At 39.8% G+C, this 19,567-nt stretch overlaps 1 protein-coding gene across 23 annotated transcripts in view; it reads right to left on the reverse strand.

Moving 5' to 3' along the window:
* PKHD1 (PKHD1 ciliary IPT domain containing fibrocystin/polyductin) overlaps positions 1-19,567 on the reverse strand; it is a 472,317-nt gene that overhangs the window by 217,211 nt on the left and 235,539 nt on the right. For 22 of the 23 annotated variants that reach the window (XR_001743469.2, XM_017010944.3, XM_017010945.3 and 19 more), the window contains 2 exons: positions 15,266-15,461; positions 3,895-3,960 (listed from right to left, as the gene is read on the reverse strand). Coding sequence is in view for 22 of the 23 variants with exons in the window: in XM_017010944.3 (XP_016866433.1) it covers positions 3,895-3,960; positions 15,266-15,461 (262 nt within the window). In the remaining variant the exon portion in view is untranslated. The remainder of the gene's footprint in view (positions 1-3,894; positions 3,961-15,265; positions 15,462-19,567) is intronic. The other variant, XM_017010946.3, reaches the window with a different exon arrangement.

The raw sequence follows: 19,567 nt of genomic DNA on the forward strand, positions 1-19,567 counted from the left end.
TCCAGAGACTTCCAGCACATTAAGACAGAAGTGGATGAATAGTTTGTGCCATAGGGCATTCAGGGTATCTCTGTGGTCTCCAGATGGAGCTATACAGCAAGCAGTGGAAAAATATGAATTGGAAAGATGGGAAGAGCTCTGAGCCCAGAGATGAATTTGGCATCATCGGCCTAGAAGCTGTATTTGAAACTCTGAGGGTGGTTGTAATAGCTCCAGAGGATTTCAAGGTGACAAGGGAAAATACCTGATATCAGAAACATGAGGAACACTTAGTTATTTTTTCTACCAGACCCAATTCCTCAGTAGTCATGGTTTAATTAGAGACCCAGGATAACCTAAAAGTATATAGATTGTGGTCAAGCAAAAACCATAGGCAACTTAATTAGTACAAAATATACCACACACCTTGGGAATAAGGCAATGTCTTGGAATAAGCATCACTCAGTAAGAGGCTTTATAAATATTTCATAAACTCCAATACTGTAATACCTTTCTAAGTTTTTTCCCAATGTTGCCTGCTTCCCAACATTAGACCCAAAATACTCAGCTGGGGGTAGAGTAAGGGGTATTTGTCAGGGTGACCCCTAGCTTGCCCCACAAAGTCCAGATAAAATGTCTCTGATGCCTCATTTCCAGTGATATTTCAAACAAGCAATGATTGTTCTCTAAAACCTCACGCCAAGCTTCAGGAATCTTTAGTTACTCCAATTTTATATCACAGATGATGGAAACAAACATTCTGTACTTTTTTCACCTTTACTCTTGCTTATAAGAGGGCTGACACAGTCTTTAGTTGGACAAATTAGGCCTTAAGGTAGCTATTCTAATGAAGGAATGTTATTATGTACAAATTTAATTATTCTATACCATCCTGCTTAAGATAAGAACACTAAGGGATAAGAAAACATGTTTCAGTCTCCTGTCAGAGTTATCAGATTTCTATACAACTAATATCAGGGTTCTATATGACTATTATTGACAATCAAATTTGTGGAGAGAAAAAGAAGCCTACAAGAGTTAAAGAAGCAGCAGTCAGAGATCTACTGGGAGAATCAGAAGAGAGGAAGGTCTTGGAATCCTAAGTAATACAGCATCTCCAGAGAGCACAAGTGACCTTGTTAATAGTAGAGTTCTGGTAAGAGAGAGAATTAGAAGTCACTGTTAAACTTAGCAATCAAGGCATGGGTGATCCAGATGACAGTGGTCCCAGTTGAGTGGTTGAGACAGAAACCATATTACAGTGGATTGAGGAATGCACTGGAGGTAAGGAAGGAAAGATGTTGGGTCAGACCATCCAAAAAGCTCACTGAGGAATGGACAGTCTTAAGAGTTGAGAACCACAGCCTTTGATCTGTCTTCTGAAGCTTTAGATAAATTAGACTAGTTTCAAAACTGGAGCCCATGAATTTTGGTCTGGACCAACACTCCTGATGAGGCCTCTCCTTGCTTCCCTGTACAAATTTGTCCCTCAACAAGCACTTAAGATTTTAGGTAGTCTCAAGTCTAATACATGAGCCAAATGTTGGCCTCCACACCTTTGCTCTTCATCAACCCAGGTTTTCATGGCTCTGCATGAAGAGGAGGCTAGGCTTTTGAGAAGTTTGCAGGACAGCTGTCTGCTAAAGGAAAATTCAGTATCCACAAATTTGTTTTGTTTTTAAATGGGAGGCACTGAACAGAAGAAGCCAGTAAGGAAAGAAAGGTTAACTACACGAGACAATGAGTTGTTCGCTGATGGGGGAAAGTGTGGAAGATGCAGGAAGGGATGAGTTAACTTTGAACAAGACTAGGGCTGCCTGATTCTCAGAGATCAAAGAAAGCGACAAAAACTTAGGTCTGTGGGAAAATTTAGGAAAAGAATACCCGATGATCTGGATGTTCTTATATGACCATGGACAATATGTGCACTTAGTACGGGTACATATTACATACTCATATCGGTTAACACATAGATAGATGGTTAACTCATTCAAACATTGGATTGACCCATTCAAACAATGGAATGAATGAGTTAACACAGATAGATGTGTTAACTCATTCATTCATTCATTCTTAGTTTTGGCAAAAACGATATTGCAATAATTTTACTGTTTTACGTAGAGCTACTCATTAAACAAAATACATTACCATATTTAAATTTTGGCACTAGCACAGATACTACATACATGAGAATCAGGCAATGTCTTGAAAGTATGTTATTTAAAATTTCCTCCTGATGAAGGATATTGTACTAAATCTGTAACTCTTTGTGTTTTGAAATAGTTTTCTGTTCCCAACTATATGAGGTAGGAAAACTGGCTAGATTTTAATATAACTCATAAATTAATCTATGCTCAATAAGGCAATTTAAACACATTAGAGGCTACATTGTATAGCACAAGGAACACTGGGCTGAGTTGAGACATCTGAGTTCCTATCTAGGCTCATATGACTGACTACTGATATGACTAAGTTTAATATCTGGGCTTCACATCCCCATTTGTAAAATGAGGCAACTGGATAGGATAGCCTGCAAGGTCTCCACCTTTGTTAAAACCCACAACTCTATGAAGTATGGGCTTTCTATTTCTCAGCAGTTGTAATTGACAGTTGTAATGCAAGCATCTCCAGTTAAACTGACCCCTTCTAAAAAGCTCTGAATGTTCCTTCCAGAGAATCCTTAGTACAGAAATCATCATACTACATGCTGAGTGACATGCCACCCTGACTACAGATGGTTGAACCAAGAATGGCCATTCATAGATGGTCCAGTATCCACAGAAGGGGGCCTGGCATGAGAGCTTCCCCAACAGGTGTGTCCTCTACAGAATAGGCACTGACACAGCAAATCAAATCTCTCCTTGGAGAATTTGAACATAGAAACTTTCAAAGAAGAGAAAACTATCCTTTTCCTTATAACAGTAATTTTTAAACAACTGTATTAATTGATTACTTAGTAGTTTGACTGACATCCCCAAGAGATCATAAGACCCCATAAAGTCAAAGTTCATTCCATCTTGCTCATCATGGTATCCCCCACACCTTGCATAAAAGGCACTCAATAAACAAGGCATTTTGAACCACCTAAAGGCAAAGAGAGATGAAGGACAAGGAACATAAAAAACAAAGTGTGGTGGCAGCTCAGAAAACATTCTGAAAACAATCTTGAATCACATTCTTCATAGTCCAATAAGCATGGAGTAGTAACCTTCAGGATTATCATTTATAGTTTTAGTCCAGTCCTCTTACCTCATTTACCTATTAATTTAAACAGAGGAATTAGATCATTTTCTGATTAGCATGGGCTCTGCTCTGACATAGCACAAAAATGCCACTGAAAATTAAAAGAAATCTCTGCGTTTGAAAAGATTTATTCCTCTTGCAAATGTATAGTTAAATTGACTCAGAATAAACAAAAACAAACAATGAAATACATCAGAAGGTGCTTAGGAGACATTTAGTTTTTGAGAATTTGGCTTTTTGAGTTAGAAAGATTTCATAGAACCATCTGACTTTTGAGGAGGGTTTGTTTACCCTGATTTCCTGAAATTACCAGGAACAATTAAAGTTTAGAGATACCCTGAATTTTTCTTTCCATTTGGAGGGGGCCTAATAGCCCATCTGCAGATCTGGAGTCCTATGTGCACATATGGTCCATAATTTATGAAATGTGCTTATTTACATGTTTCAATTCTTACTTTCATTGCTTTGAAAAATAAATCCACCTTTATATCCTTTTTTGACATGCAGATACATATTTTAGTTACAGGGCAACACAATAGAGAGTTATCAGACATATAAGCTTTAGGACTGATACCTGCCTGTTTATTAACAGTATGACAAGGTGGAATTTGTAGAACTACTGGAGGACATTCTGCCATACTAGACACTTCTACTTCGTGTGTTAATACTCACCTGAAATAGTTGGGGGCATACCTTCCTTCACCCGGAGAATGACTTGAACTTGGCCTTCACCTGAAACTAAATACCAAAAGCCACAACTTGCATGTGATACAAAGATCATCTTAATATTAAAGACAGTCACACGTGAGAAAAGAAGAATTTATGCTAAATTCTAGTTGCCTAAATTTTCAAAACAGAAAAATGAAATCCTTGTTAGTTAATCTAACAATTGATTTCCAACATTTGATTTTGATTGCTTTCATTTGATTAAATGTAATTGCAATGAGGTCTCCAGGAGAACTGGCACATAAATAATTAGGAGAAACAAAAACAGAAACGAAACCTTTAGCCATATGTTCTAAGGAAGCCAATGGTGTCCAGCAGGGCATATACCTCATATCCTATTTTCTCTTCATCATTTTGTAGGCTCAGCTTTTAGAATTCATGTGTTTTTCACCAATAGAGTTCAGATCATCCATGAAATGTATTTGGTTACCTTTATCCAAACAAATTGTCCTTTTAATGAAGCCTTTTCCCCACCCCCTATCCTCCTCCTATCATCCAAGCCAACTGAGCACATTTAAAAGGCCTGGGGTTCATTAATTTTAAGCGTTCAATAAATTAGTGGAAATAATCAAAAGGCCTGATTCTTTCTGATAATGACAATTTGATGTCAGGATAAACCAGTAGATTAAGCTGGGAACATATGCTCCTTTGCCAAGAGAGGCTGCTATAATTAAATAGTGAATGCATCTACAAGGTGCTCTCACGCCTGATTAATTAGTAATCAGGTGCACAAACTCCATTTTTCAGTCACACCTTGTCTCTTATTGGTTAATTACCTTTCTGCCTTATTGTTTGTCACATGAGCCACACCTTCCACCACTGGAGCACCCCTTGTTGCTGAAGGCTGCAGCCTTGGGGACTCGGCCAAATTCACATTCTCCACTTTTGTTTTCCTGGAACCCTAAACCCTTTCCTCCATCAGATGAAATAAACACAGGATCATTCTTTCTAAATATAAAACATAAGCAGCCAGGCGCTGTGGCTCATGCCTGTAATCCCAGCACTTTGGGAGGCTGAGGTGGGTGGATCACTTGAGGTCAGGAGTTCAAGACCAGCCTGGCCAACATGGTAAAACCCATCTCTACTAAAAACACAAAAACTAGCCATGCGTACTGGTGCACTCCTATAATCCCAGCTACTAGGGAAGCTGAGGCAGGAGAATTGCTTGAACCCTGCAGTGTGGAGGTTGCAGTGAGCCAAGATCACGCCACTGCACTCCAGCCTGGGTGACAGAGCAAGACTCTGTCTTGAAAAAACTAAAAAATGAAAAATAAAAATAAAATATAAGCCTCAGAATATTACAAAGAAAATGATCCCCAAAGAGATCCATGATGAGACCTCTTCAATTTCTCTAATCTTATTTTGGTCATTTTCTCTTTTTAAAATTTTTCTAAGGATGTAAAGCATGAGTTTGTGTCTTTCTCCTTACACTGCCACATGTTGAGACCTGGTACAATGACAACATGCTCTTGACATGTTCTACCTTTATCACCACTTCCAAGACTTTGCTTAAATTGTTCCTTCACCCTGTTGCTTATTTCATGCATCTTTCTAACTTAATACTAATAATAAAGCCACCAGTCAAGGTGTCATTTCCTTTTTTTAAAATAAGGTCTAACTCATCCACTTCTGTTCACGTTGATTTGTGCATTCTCTAAAGTTCTAAAGTACTTCTAAATCCATCCTGTGATATTCATCCCAAACTTGTTCTCAATTTAATAAATATTTATTAAGCACCAACTGATAATTTAAGATTTCATCAATAATTAGCTTTGTCTTCAAATTTTTGAGAGAGAGATTTTTCTCATGCACCTTATGAGACCAGATATTGCTAGAAATGTAGATACTTCATTTTCATGGGCCAATTTAGAAATCCTAGGTTTAATCTTGTATCTGTAGCTCTTTCCACTACACTGCACCAATGGCTTCTGGACTGAGTGGTGAATGATTTTCTTAAACCTCTACACACGCACAAATGGTCCCTACCTCCAGGAGAACTCCCTACCAAAACAGACATTGCAAAACTAAAAAATATATTGAAAATCTGTTGCTCACTTCATTAACGTTGAGTGTGTGAATGCCAGTCAGTGAAGAGAAGTAGTTTCAGGATCAGAACAGATACAGAAAAGTTAACAAAAGCAGGAAAAATTAGAAGTCTGATTTCCTATACCACCATCTACATGCATCTGGGGGCAGATGAGTATGAGACAGAGGGCTATCTCTTCCCAAACACCATTTCCTGGTCATGGTCATGACAATAGTGAATGGTGGGAAGAATGTGGGTGCTGGAGCCCAACAGCCTGAATCTGAATCCTGGCTCTTCTGGTTCCTAGACATGGGCCACTGACAAGTTATTTGCCATTTCTAAACCTTATTCATTTCATCTAAAAGTGGGAATAATCATACTATCTATCTCATATGGCTATTAGAAAGAAAAGATAGAATAGTCCATGGAACATGCTTAGCACAGTGCCTGGCACATCATGAACAATAAATGTTAACTATTATCAATACTGTCATTATGGCATGTTCATGATTCCAGGTGCCAGTCAACAAGGTTCAAGAAACATGCTTTTACTTTCTACTCTTTTTACAGCTGTATCTAATCATGATGAGCTGTAGTATTACAGAGTTGTAAGCAACTTAACCAGATCTGCTAAAGTTTGTTAAGTGTGTTGACTCTACAAAGAACTGTAAATGTGAAGTGTCATTTCCAATTTGAATAAATACAAAGAGGGATGAAAATCATTTGAGAATGAAGGTATTGACTTGGGAAGAGTTTAAAAGCCTTACACAAGCTGTGATATTGTACATATGTTTTCTCAGTGCTTATGATTTCTGATTTTGTATTTGTAATATGAGAATGGTTAATCTTCCGTGTTTATAAATGGAGCCCCATTGTAGTTGATCCTTCCCAGATTGTAAGAAGATCTGATGCTCAAAAAGACAAAAAAAAAGTCTTTGGGCCAATTATTGCCAACTTTTTCTGACGAGTGCTATGTGATCTAAACTTGCTATAAACACAGACATCTAGGGTGAAGAGGAAATGTGCTAAGAAAATGGCTCCTGGTAAGAGAAAAGAGAGTTACTAAAGTAGATGTGATACGAGGTCCTACCAGGTTAATGTGTTGTGTCTGAAGAACTCTATCCTCACTTAAGGCTCTAGGAAACAGAAAAATTAATTAATTCTCTCCCTAACCAGGTCTAATTCTCTCTTGAAATTTTAGAGGGAGAAATAAGCACCCATTTATTTAAAAATAAAAAACACATGGAATCTTAGTAGGTTATAGACTCCTTCCCTATTTCACTCTTTCATTCATATTCTCATTCTCACTTTGTCGTTTTAGTTTATGCACATATTAGGACCTCTCACTCAGGCCACATTTATCTAGTGTGTCAGCCACTGACTAAACAGTGAAAGAACATAAAACAGCAACTGCAATCAGTGTCTGCAAATGTCATGCAGTCCCACCCTGACTCATGACTTCTCTTTCCGTCTCTGCCTGCCCTGGACCCAAGCCCCAGCTCTGTCTTCTTGTGCTGGCTGTTGGCTCTCTCTGCATTTTTACCTCTTACCTCCACAACCTCTCTGTTACCTCCTCTGTTGCCTCCACATCTTTTCCCTGTCCTGACTCACAAATCTGTACACTCCTTCTATTCCTCCTGTCCTGCTCAGTGAATTTGACCTCATTCCTCAGAAGCTGACCTCTTTGGCTTAGCCACAGAGAAGGCTTGCTTGTCAGTTAGTCCTTGGCAGCTAAAGCTTGATTTACAGGACCACACTCCTGTCTGATTCCAGCCTCAGAGGCAGCCACGGAAGGCATCTTGGCCCTCATAAAACATGATCCTTTAAAGGCGTTCACAGAAATAGTATATGAAAATCCTGTGATTACCTTTGAGTCTTCTATTATCCCTGTATCATTCACTTATGAAACAGTGAATTTTGGGGGGGACAAAAGGAAAAGAACTTGATCAAGACACCAACACATATATCTGCATTAGCCACAATCCTGAAAGTTAGCTCAATTAAACCTTCTTAATTAACTCAGAGAAGAATAACAATTGTTATTCTGACTCAGAGCAATGTTTTTCATACTTCTGTGGAGGTATTTGTGATTTCCCAGACCCTGCCACAGACCTACACAGCCTGAATCTCTCAGGAGGGTCCTGGGAATAAGCATTTCAGCTGTTTACACAGGAGGCAAAAAAACACAAATGTAAGGAACTAAACAAATTTTCTCATACTACACTCTTAAAATATTGTTTGTTCTCAGGAGCAGGTGTTCTTACCAAGTAAAGAGCGAGACCCAGATGGAAAAGATCCTTACTTCACAATTCGTACTTTTTATCAATTATACCAAACCCTTACAGACCAAATCATATTCCCAAGATGTTAAATGCACAATGGTTACTTTAGAGGCATAAAAAGTTTCATTTTAGTATCTATACATTGTAAAGTATTTTAGAAAAAAACAACTAACCCATTAAACCCATGATTTCATGGATATTATTAAGAAAAGTTAGGTTTTAAAAATAAGACAGTGTAGAAATTGATTTAAGAAAAATATTAAGTAAATAATCAGACAAGAGGTATAAGGATATGACACAATTATGAAAATGGTACTAAAATATCTAAAGTTCAGGAAGCACAGTGTTAACTAAGTATTGTTTTTTCTTATAAATTGAAAGAAGAAGAGTTGGTTTAAAAGGTTAGGTATATAAGCTCAGATTTAAAAAAAGAAAAGATGGTATACTAGAAAAAGCACTGAACCTAGAGTCAGAAAAGCTATTTGAATACTGGTTGCACCACCTATGACCTGTGTGAATTAAGGCTAGCAACTCAGCATTGCGGAGCATTAACTCCTTAACCTGAGTGATTCCTAAAAGATGTATTTGATTCTAAGTTTCCTTCCCTTTCCTTTCTCCTCCTCTCCTCTTCTCTCCTCTCCTCTCCTTTCCTTCCTTTTCTCCTTCTCTTCCTGCCTTTTCCTTTTGGAGTTGTTTCCAACCAAGAGGCAAAATCCCTTTTCACATCCCCAGCCTCTGTTCTGTTATCTATATTTTTGCCATAAAGGTTAGTGCAGTTCCCTGAAGTCAATTCTCTACATACTGGTAAAAATCCTTGGGGATCTTTGGGAATGAGTTTTTCATAAGAATGTAAATTAATTTATTAACTAGAATGCTGTGGATTGCCTTAGAGGGGCTCAGCATGGGAATGGCTGCAGAGTTGCAAAAAGATTCTGATTCCGCTCTGCCTACAAAATCTTCCCCAAGAGGTCACAGGAGCCAGCTGACGCCACTCTCCTCCTTAGATCCTAAAGGAATTATTTTCCAGGATTTGCAGGCAGTCTTCTAGGCCAGCTGAAGAAGAGAAGATTTATGCAAGCAGCCTGCTTGGCTCCAGGGCCCTTGTTGCATTGAGGAAAGGAAACCTGGGCAGTGGTAGACAGGATCAGGAGCCTAGGCTCCAACCCAGGAAAGCACTCCTGATTTTTTAGGCTCTCCCAAATTAACAGCATCTTTTCTGACCCATCTTTGTGATGAGACAGACCTGAGTTCTTCTAGGCAACTTGGCACACACAATAAAGTCCATCTGCCTTTCCATGCACAGCCCTCTTGCCCTTTATTCGTGGTGAGGCGGACATTTGGACACAAGTGTTGGCCAGCCTGGCTAGACATGTCCTTTTTTTCTCAGTCAGATCAGAAGGTGGTGGTGCAGCAGGAGCCTCAGCCTTACAGGCAGACCTTCTCAGCTGCCGCCTCACACAATGTCCCAGCTCGGCTGCATCTCTGCTCCATGAGTGGGGGCTGTGTGAACTCGGGAGGGCAACTGTGAATGGCACAGCATCTGATATGAATTTATCACCGGCTGCTGGTCGGGAGGGGGATCAAGCTAGGGGAAGGGGCTGTGTTTAATGCACCCTGCCACAACCCAACAGTTTGCCCTAAAGAGCCTTTTACCAATATAAAAGGACAGGGTCAAAAGTAAGTTGACCCCTGACAGAATGTACAATTATTAGAAGAAGGCTGTGTGCGAGCAGCTGCTGGAACCCCACTGACTCTGCATCGGGCTTCCAAGAGTCAGATTATGAATAATCAACTCAAGATTGTTTTCTCCACCCTTCTCAACCTCCCCCCGCCTCCCTCCAATCTTCTCCTCCTGTTTTGGGCAAGTCCTATTCTATTTCTACAGGAAGAAGCATAGCCCTCCCTAGCAGCTGCAATAATTGTGTTCCTATTGTGATGAAGACCTCCTCCTGGCCACCCCCCTACAAGTGGCCATTGTGAGTGGAAAGTCAGTGATTATACGCTCCCTCTGATGCTTTGGGGGACCCAGCTGCCTAAGTGCTGACACAGGAGTGTGCAGAAGGCCAGGGAGGGGGCTGGTGGAGGTGGAGGCAAGAGGTGGGGGAAACCCACGTCTGTGAGACTGGACTCTGACATACCAGACCTTTTGCATAAGTCAAGCCAAGAACAAATGAGGCATTATCAGGCCCCAGTGTTGAGAGGTCTCATCTCCCTTTGAAGTGGAGCTGAGCGTGGGGCCAAGCAGCTTTTCCTCCTTTGGACCAAGCAAACATCCTTCTTTTGATATGCTACATGCTCATTATCTCTGCCCCATTTAATGATTTTTGATTGAAGGGTGGCGGCTGGGATGCCGAGAGGATCGTTAGAGAGGCTCCATACAGCCAAGCCCATAAGAAAGGCTTTCCTTGTGCCTGGGCCTAAATTTGGAATTTCTTAACAGTGTGCGCTTGTTCTTAGAGGCAGATAAAGGCTGAGCGTGAAATTCTTAATTAAGCAATAAATAGAGAGTGGGGTGTCAGCAGATGTAGCCAGTAGCCATGGCAACAGGAATCACATGGGCAAGAGAGCTGAGACTCGATGTAGGCCTCAGGCCTGGGCCTGACTGACAGCTGAAGAATCCTACAAAGCTTGTAAACCAGATTAATTAGCTGACTAATTATTTCATAGCGTTAATGTAACTAAAAAATAAAAATAGTTCACCATGAACTGAAACATCCTTGGAAAAAAACAGCAGGGAAAGAGGCAGTGGGAAACTGGCTCTGTAAGGCAAAGACATGAGCAGTCAGGGCATCAAATCGCATGAAGGGAAAAATGGGCTTGCTGGATTTTTCTCCCAACTTTGCAAATATAAAAGAACACTTGTTCTACAGTCATACCCATTCCCAAGCACGGCATAGAAGCTACAGTTGGGATACACGATAATAGTTCATCGTATTCATAATTGTTTATCACATCAAATATTGCTCCTGCAGCATCCTAACACAAACAATAGTGCACACAAGGTTCTTCACTTGTGGTCTGTTTCATAAGTAGCTCCTTGGGCAAAATTCTCAGCAGCTTTAGAAAGGCAACATGAACCAATCTCCCTAACAGATCTTTTTAAATGAGTGAGGTTATCTTATTCTGTGGCTAACAATTGCTTAAGTGGCATCACATTTCAATCACGGGAACAATATATCATATATGTCATATTATGGTGAATCCCATTTATCTCACAAAAATCTAGTAAAAGAAAATAGAGGGAGACCCTTTCAGAAAGGTTATAACATATACACTGAGCTCATGACACATGGTATTGTTAATCTTCTAAAAAGAAAGAAAACTTCTAGAGAAATAGTCTATCAGGAAAACGTTGGTGAAATAACATGGCACATTAACCACACTTGAATATATTTGGATGTTTTGTGCCACAATTCCAAGAGACAAGTAAGTATTTTCTTAACCTTGCTGTGTAAACAAAGCCACTGAGGCATGGAGCAATTATAATGCAATGCCCCAGGTAAAATAACCAGCCAGCCACTGATTAAAACCCTAAGCCCCAAGCACTGGCCATGAGCTTTCCAAAAAAACTGCACTCCGTGAAGATGTTTGCTGAGCAAAGGCAAAACTTGCCTTGGTAGAAAAGAAAAATGCAAGGGTCAAAACATATTGTATGCGTATGATTTTTTTCTTTGTCACTGGGAATCCTTGAGAAGGGTTCTCCCACAACCCTGCCTAGCACCCCCGCCATCCTTTCTGGTCAGTGATCCACAATTATTTAGTGGGCAGCACACTCTAGTGGAGAGAGCCACAGCCAGGAGCTAGAATGCCTGGGTTCAGGTTTTTTCCACTCAGCTGGGTTGAAGATGAGTCAGGTATCTTAAATCACACATGCAGCAGCCAAACAGAGGAAATGAAGATAATTGTGATTTTTCTAAAACTTCCTATCCTGGGGGAAGTGGTAAAACAATACAAAAGATGGCCCACTTAGAAGTGGTCAACCAGTGAATGAAAATTCAGCCAGTTGTCAGTGAAGCAGCACTCTGAAGGAAATGCCAGCCAAGAAAAGGAGCCACACCCCCAAAAAAATCTAATATGGAATTCCGTGGCCATGATAGAGATCAAGCAGCTTCCCTACAATAAAATAAATTTCTGTATACACACATTTCCCATGTTTTTCATCCCAGGAATATGTCCACATAGACTATGTGGTCTTGACTTACACCATCTGCATAGATTAAATGTATTTTATGTAAATTATCCCAGTCATGGTCCTATAAAGTCAAGTGGTCTGAAAAAAACAGTTAAGTGAAAGTTACAATCTAATCAATATATAAAATGCATGGCACAGAACTGGAACTCTACTTCTTGGGCTCTTGCTCGGGTACCAACAACAGCAACTACCATTATGGCATTGGGAAATGCAGTCAGGTATATGGAAAACGTGGAAGCCTAATCACCACCTTGCTAAAGATCTTATAAACTTTACACAGATGATATCCAAAATTACAGCTAAATTTACACAACCCAGTATAGCTACATGGCGCACTGCCATGGAGGAGCAGGGTGAGCCTCAGTTCCTGCTGAGTCCTCATACCATCACTGTGACAGCCCAGAAATGAGAACAGAAGTGGCTCTAGCCAGCTATCCACTCCATACACTCAGAGGATAAAGGAGGCACCAATGACCATAAAAGATCCTACGGGGAATCCCTTCAAGAAGCAAGAGTCTCCAAGTTTGTTAAACATTCAACAAATCCTCTGTGACTTCTTATTCCTTTTCCAACTCATATTCAAAGGAGGAGATACTAGGGTATTCCAATACAAATAATTTTTAAAAATTAATAAAGGCTATCTACCTAATAGAAGTGTTTTATACTAAGACATTCATTTATATCATACATATGCACAGATACAGATGTACCTCTACATATAAGCACACATGCACATTCACACAGCTACTTACACAGATGTGCATTTATACCATATGTGTATATATAATAGTATAACTTGCTATTAATTCAATTAATAATGCTATCATAAGGGAAGAAAATCTATAGCTGCATGATTTAATTTTTTTTCTTTGTACCATAAATGGTTTTTATTACGTTTAGTTTATTTGAGTATTCAGATTATTTTGCAGTTCATGAACAGAATATGACCTATGGACAAGACAGCCTCTTCAGAAGCAGGCTAAGTAATGGAAAGAGAGCAATTCAGATTAAAATTTTGTTCCAGAATACATATCAAGTGAATAGCCATAAAGTTAATGGTAACTATTTACTCTTATTTATGGCTGTATTCGGCTGAAGTGGTAAAACAATCTCAGGAATCTCTGTCCGTCTCAAGTTTTTATAGTTTTAGGTTACATTTATGAATGGATCAAATCAGAAATAAAATTTGAATGGTATAATTCAGTGCAAATAAAATATACGACAATCCTTTTGGCAAAGACATAAAAAAAGACCAAGGGAGCACCAGACTCTCTCTCTGATGCTATTAAAATTTAACAGTTCTGGGGCTAGCCTGTAGGTCCGACTCACTGGACTTATGGTTAGGCACAAGTGAAAGAGGCAAAGGGTGGACTCAGGACCATTGCCTCGCCCTCTAAATCCATGGCCACCTTGGGCTTGTGGCAGGGGCTAGAACTTGTTATGCTAATAAGATCCCCTGGATTTGACCAGGATCTACTAAGAGCAATTTATAACAAAATTGTCACTCTTGAGACCTATTTAGCCAGATTCTCCTTTTTACTGTAAGAAGTGGCCTCACAGTGAGCTGCGATTGGAACAAGCAGGTACCATGGTGCTCAGAGAGACCAATGCTGACATGGTATAGAAAAGGAATATGAAATAAACTCCAGGAAATCAAAAGAAGTGGATGGTCCTGACACACTGGTATCCTGAGAAACATGCACAGTAAGAAGATAAGGAAAAACCTTTGGCCTCTGTGACTCTGCAGTCACAGTAGGGTTCCTGATTACTTCAACCTCATGTTAATCTTGACGTAAAACAGACACAGCCCACCCCTAGTGCTCATATCAGCCCTCCATGCTACTCATCTTCCTGACCTCAGATTCTCATCAGAAGTTTTCCTTCTCACCTTCTACATAAACTTCCGTCTTAATTCAGCCTCTCTCTGCATTGGTACTCTCTACCTTGGACTCTCTACTGTTCCTCATACCAATGGTCATAATCAGCCATCCATTTTTTTCTCTTTCTTTTTTTTATTTTTGAGATGGGGTCTCAATCTCTTGCCCAGGTTGAAGTGCAGTGGCATGCTCATGGCTCACTGCAGGCTCAACTTCCTGGGCTCAAGCTATCCTCCCACCTCAGCCTCCCAAGTAACTGAGACTACAGGCATGCGCCACCACACCCAGCTAATTTATTTAATTTTTTGTAGAGATTAGGTCTCACTCTGTTGTCTAGGCTGATATCAAACTCCTGGCCTCAACTGATCCTCCCACCTTAGCCTTCCAAGTAGCTGGGACCACAGGCACATGCCACCATGCCCAGCATTTTTTTTTTTTTTTTTTTTTTGGAGAGATGGGGTCTCACTTTGCTGCCCTGGCTGGTCTCAAACTCCTAGACTAAAGCACAGCCATCCATCTTTACATGTGCAGTTGTTCCACTACAAACAAATATGACACTGCCCTAAGATGAATTAAAGATATTATTAGTACTAACTACCAATGTCTAGTAAGCATTTTTTGTGGGCTAGGCCTTCTGCTCAAGAGTTTTACATGTTATTCTTTATTTAATTTCCTATCCTTTGAGGTAGGCCCTATGGTCATACTTCTCTATAGAGGAGGAGGCTGAGCCTTAGAGAGGCTCTGTGTATGCTAGCTGGTGAGTGTTGGAGCTGGGATTTAAACCCAGGCAATCAGACTTCAGGGAACATTCACTCAACCATAACACACAGCTGTCCCTTTCAGTTCCTCAGCACTTCACAGCACAAATGTCTGGAATTGAAGGGTGATTGGTGATTTCTGACTATGTGCTCTCAAAACATTCATCCAATTGGATACTTACCCAGATAGGTGAGTTGCCTCAGCTGGCTATTGAAGAACCAGTCACAGCCTTGGTTCTGACCTGGTGATGGAAGAAATGGAAAAGACAGACCCACTCGACTCCCACATCTTAGGAGGATGTCAGGGTAAGGCGGCAAATCTGTGTGCACCAGCAGTAGGTAATTACCAGGAGCAAAGTTGTCAAAGGTTGCTGAGTACTTGAAGTGAAAGAAAAACACAATAGTGCTCATTTAGTAAGGAACCCCATCATTCCACCTACTCCACCACACCACCCTGCCAAAACAACTACAGAGAACGCAGATGGAGTAGTTTAGAAATCATACAATTTAGACCCAGATTGTACTTTTCTTGTGGGAAATGGGAATACTTAAATCTACTTCATAAAAAATTCATAACTAGAGCTACAAAATCAGACTATGAAGACTGAAAGATGCCATAAGGTTCATCTCGTTTAACAATCTCAATTACCAGAGGAGAAAGCCAAGGCCCAGACATATGAATTGACACGTCTCAGGTCAAACAGCTAGAAGAGACAAGGCCAGGTCTAGAATTCCTTTCCAGCTTTTCCCACGACTTGAAGCGACAGGCAATGATAGGCATGTCATCCATTTATCACAGTAATAGCTAACATTGTGGGAGCATTTACTATGCAATCAGCACTATTCAGTCCTCGAAAGGCACCCCTGTCATTGTTACTCTTACTGTCCCATTTTTACATTGAGGAAACTGAGGCAGGCAGAGGTTCAGTAGCTTGCCCCATATCACAAAGCAGAAGAGTGCAGTGTCAGGACATAAACCTAGGGTATCCACCTCCAGAGGCACACCCTACTGTTTTCACTGCATGAAAATTCTCCAGAGTGCTCTCACGGGAATCTCAAGGCAAGAAAAGAGAGGCGTACATCCTTTCTGAAAGCCATGGAGAGAAGATCAAAAGTGATTCTGTTCTGAATTCCTCATGACCATGGCAGGGCTTCTGTCTCCCTAAGATAGGCTCTCAGGACTGTTAGCAAGAATGTGTATGATAAGATAGGAAGAAATATATGTGTTAAAAGTATGAAAATAAGCTTAGGGAATTCCACTGGATTGCTGTTTAAAAATATGGAAAAATGTACCCACTTTCCTCATGGCCATTTTTTTTTTTTTAGTTTTTTTTTTTATTTCTTCTGAAAAAAAAAAAAACAGGATACAGGTGCAGAACGTGCAGGTTTGTTACACAGGTATACGTGTGCCATGGTGGTTTGCTGCACCTATTGACCCATCCTCTAAGTTCCCTCCCCTCACCTCCTACCCCCAAACAGGCCCTGGTGAGTGTTGTTCCCCTCTCCATGTCCATGTGTTCTCAATGTTCAACTCCCACTTATGAGTGAGAACATGCAGTGTTTGGTTTTCTATTCCTGTGTTAGTTTGCTAACGATGATGGCTTCTAGCTTCATCCATGTCCCTGAAAAGGACATGATCTCATTCCTTTTTATGGCTGCATAGTATTCCATGATGTGTATGTACCACATTTTCTTTATCCAGTCTATCATTGATGGGCATTTTCCATGTCTTTGCTATTGTAAATAGTGTGGCAATAAACATACATGTGCATGTGTCTTTACAGTAGAATAATTTATAATCCTTTGGGTACATACCCTGCAATGGGATTGCTGGGTCAAATGGTATTTCTGGTTCTAGGTCCTTGAGGAATTGCCATACTGTCTTCCACAATGGTTGAACTAATTTACATTCCCACCAACAGTGTAAAAGCGTTCCTGTTTCTCCACAGCCTCACCAGCTTTCATTGTTTCCTGACTTTTTAATAATTGCCATTCTGACTGGCATGAGATGGTATCTCATAGCGGTTTTGATGTGCATTTCTCTGATGATCAATGATGTTGAGCTTTTTTTCATGTTTGTTGGCCGCGTAAATGTCTTCTTTTGAGAAATGTCTGTTCATATCCTTTGCCCACTTTTTGATGGGGTTGTTTGTCTTTTTCTTGTAAATATGTTTAAGTTCCTTGTAAATTCTGGATATTAGACTTCTGTCAGATGGGTAGATTGCAGAAATATTCTCCCATTCTGTAGGTTGCTTGTTCACTCTGATGATAGTTTCTTTTGCTGTGCAGAAGCTCTTTAGTTTAATTAGATCCCATTTGTCAATTTTTGCTTTTGTTGCAATTGCTTTTGGCATTTTCGTCATGAAGTCTTTGCCTATGCCTATGTCCTGGATGGTATTGCCTAGGTTTTCTTCTAGGGTTTTTATGGTTTTGAGTTTTTCATGTAAGTCTTTAATCCATCTTGAGTTAATTTTTGTATAACGTGTAAGGAAGAGGTTCAGTTTCAGTTTTCTGCATATGGCTACCCAGTTTTCCCAGCACCATTTACTGAATAAGAGATCCTTTCCCCATTGCTTGTTTTTATGAGGTTTGTCAACGATCTGATGGTTGTAAATGTGTGGTGTTATTTCTGAAGTCTCTGTTCTGCTCCATCGGTCTATATGTCTGTTTTGGTACCAGTACCATGCTGTTTTGGTTACTGTAGACTTGCAGTATACTTTGAAGTCAGGTAGTGTGATGCCTCCAGCTTTGTTCTTTTGCTTAGGATTGTCTTGGCTATACAGGGTCTTCTTCGATTCCATGTGAAATTTAAAATGTTTTTTTCTAATTCTGTGAAGAATGTCAGTGGTAGTTTGATGGGAATAGCATTGAATCTATAAATTACTTTGGGCAGTATAGCCATTTTCACGACATTGATTCTTCCTATCCATGAGCGTGGAATGTCTTTCCATTTGTTTGTGTCCTCTCTTATTTCCTTGAGCAGTGGTTTGTAGTTCTCCTTGAAGAGGTCCTTCGCACTGCTTGTTAGCTGTATACGTAGGTATTTTATTCTCTTTGTAGCAATTGTGAATAGGAGTTCATTCATGATTTGGCTCTCTGCTTGCCTATTGTTGGTGTAAAGGAATGCTTGTGATTTTTGAACATTCATTTTGTATCCTGAGACTTTGAAGCTGAAGTTGCTTATCAGTTCAAGAAATTTTTTGACTGAGATGATGGGGTTTTCTAAGTATAAAATCATGTCATCTGCAAAGAGAGACAACTTGACTTCCTCTCTTCCTATTTCAATGCCCTTTATTTCTTTCTCTTGCCTGATTACCCGGCCAGAACTTCCAATACTATGTTGAATAAGACTGGTGAGACAGGGCATCCTTGTCTTGTGCTGGTTTTCAAAGGGAATGCTTCTAGCTTTGGCCCATTCAATATGACATTTGTTGTGGGTTGGTCATAAATAGCTGTTATTATTTTGAGATATGTTCCATCAATACCTAGCTTACTGAGAGCTTTTAACATGAAGGGATGTTGAATTTTATCAAAGGCCCTTTCTGCATCTATTGAAAAAAATCAAGTGGTTTTTGTCTTTGGTTCTGTTTATGTGACGGATTATGTTTATTGATTTGTGTATGTTGAACCAGCCTTGCATCCCAGGGATGAAGCCGACTTGATAATGGTGGATAAGTTTTTTGATGTGTTGCTGGATTTGGTTTGCCAGTATTTTATTGAGGATTTTCACATTGATGTTCATCAGGGATATTGGCCTGAAATTTTCTTTTTTCATTGTGTCTCTTCCCAGTTTTGGTATCAGAATGATGCTGGCTTCATAAAATGAGTTAAGGAGGAGTCCCTCCTTTTCAATTGTTTGGAATAGTTTCAGAAGGAATGGTACCAGTTCCTCTTTGTACCTCTGGTAGAATTCAGCTGTGAATCCATCTAGTCCTGGGCTTTTTTTGGTTGTAGGCTATTAATTAGGCTATTAATTACTGCCTCAATTTCAAGGCTTGTTATTGGTCTATTTAGGGATTCAGCTTCTTCCTGGATTAGTCTTGGTAGGGTGTATGCATCCAGGAATTTATCCATTTCTCCTAGATTTTCTAGTTTATTTGCATAGACATGTTTATAGTATTCTCTGATGGTAGTTTGTATTTCTGTGGGGTCAGTGGTGATATCCCTTTTATCATTTTTTATTGTTTCTATTTGACTCTTTTCTCTTCTTTGTTAATCTAGCTAGCGGTCTATCTATTTTGTTAATTTTTTCAAAAAACCAGCTCCTGGATTCGTTGATTTTTTTGGAGGGTTTTTTGTGTCTATAACTCCTTCAATTCTTCTCCGATCTTAGTTATTTCTTGTCTTCTGCTGGCTTTTGGATTTGTTTGCTCTTGACTCTCTAGCTCTTTTAATTGTGATGTTAGGGTATCGATTTGAGATCTTTCTAGCTTTCTGATGTGGGCATTTAGTGCTATAAATTTCCCTCTTAACACTACTTTAGC

This window comes from Homo sapiens, chromosome 6, assembly GCF_000001405.40.
Source record: "Homo sapiens chromosome 6, GRCh38.p14 Primary Assembly".
In the NCBI taxonomy this organism is placed as follows: domain Eukaryota; kingdom Metazoa; phylum Chordata; class Mammalia; order Primates; family Hominidae; genus Homo; species Homo sapiens.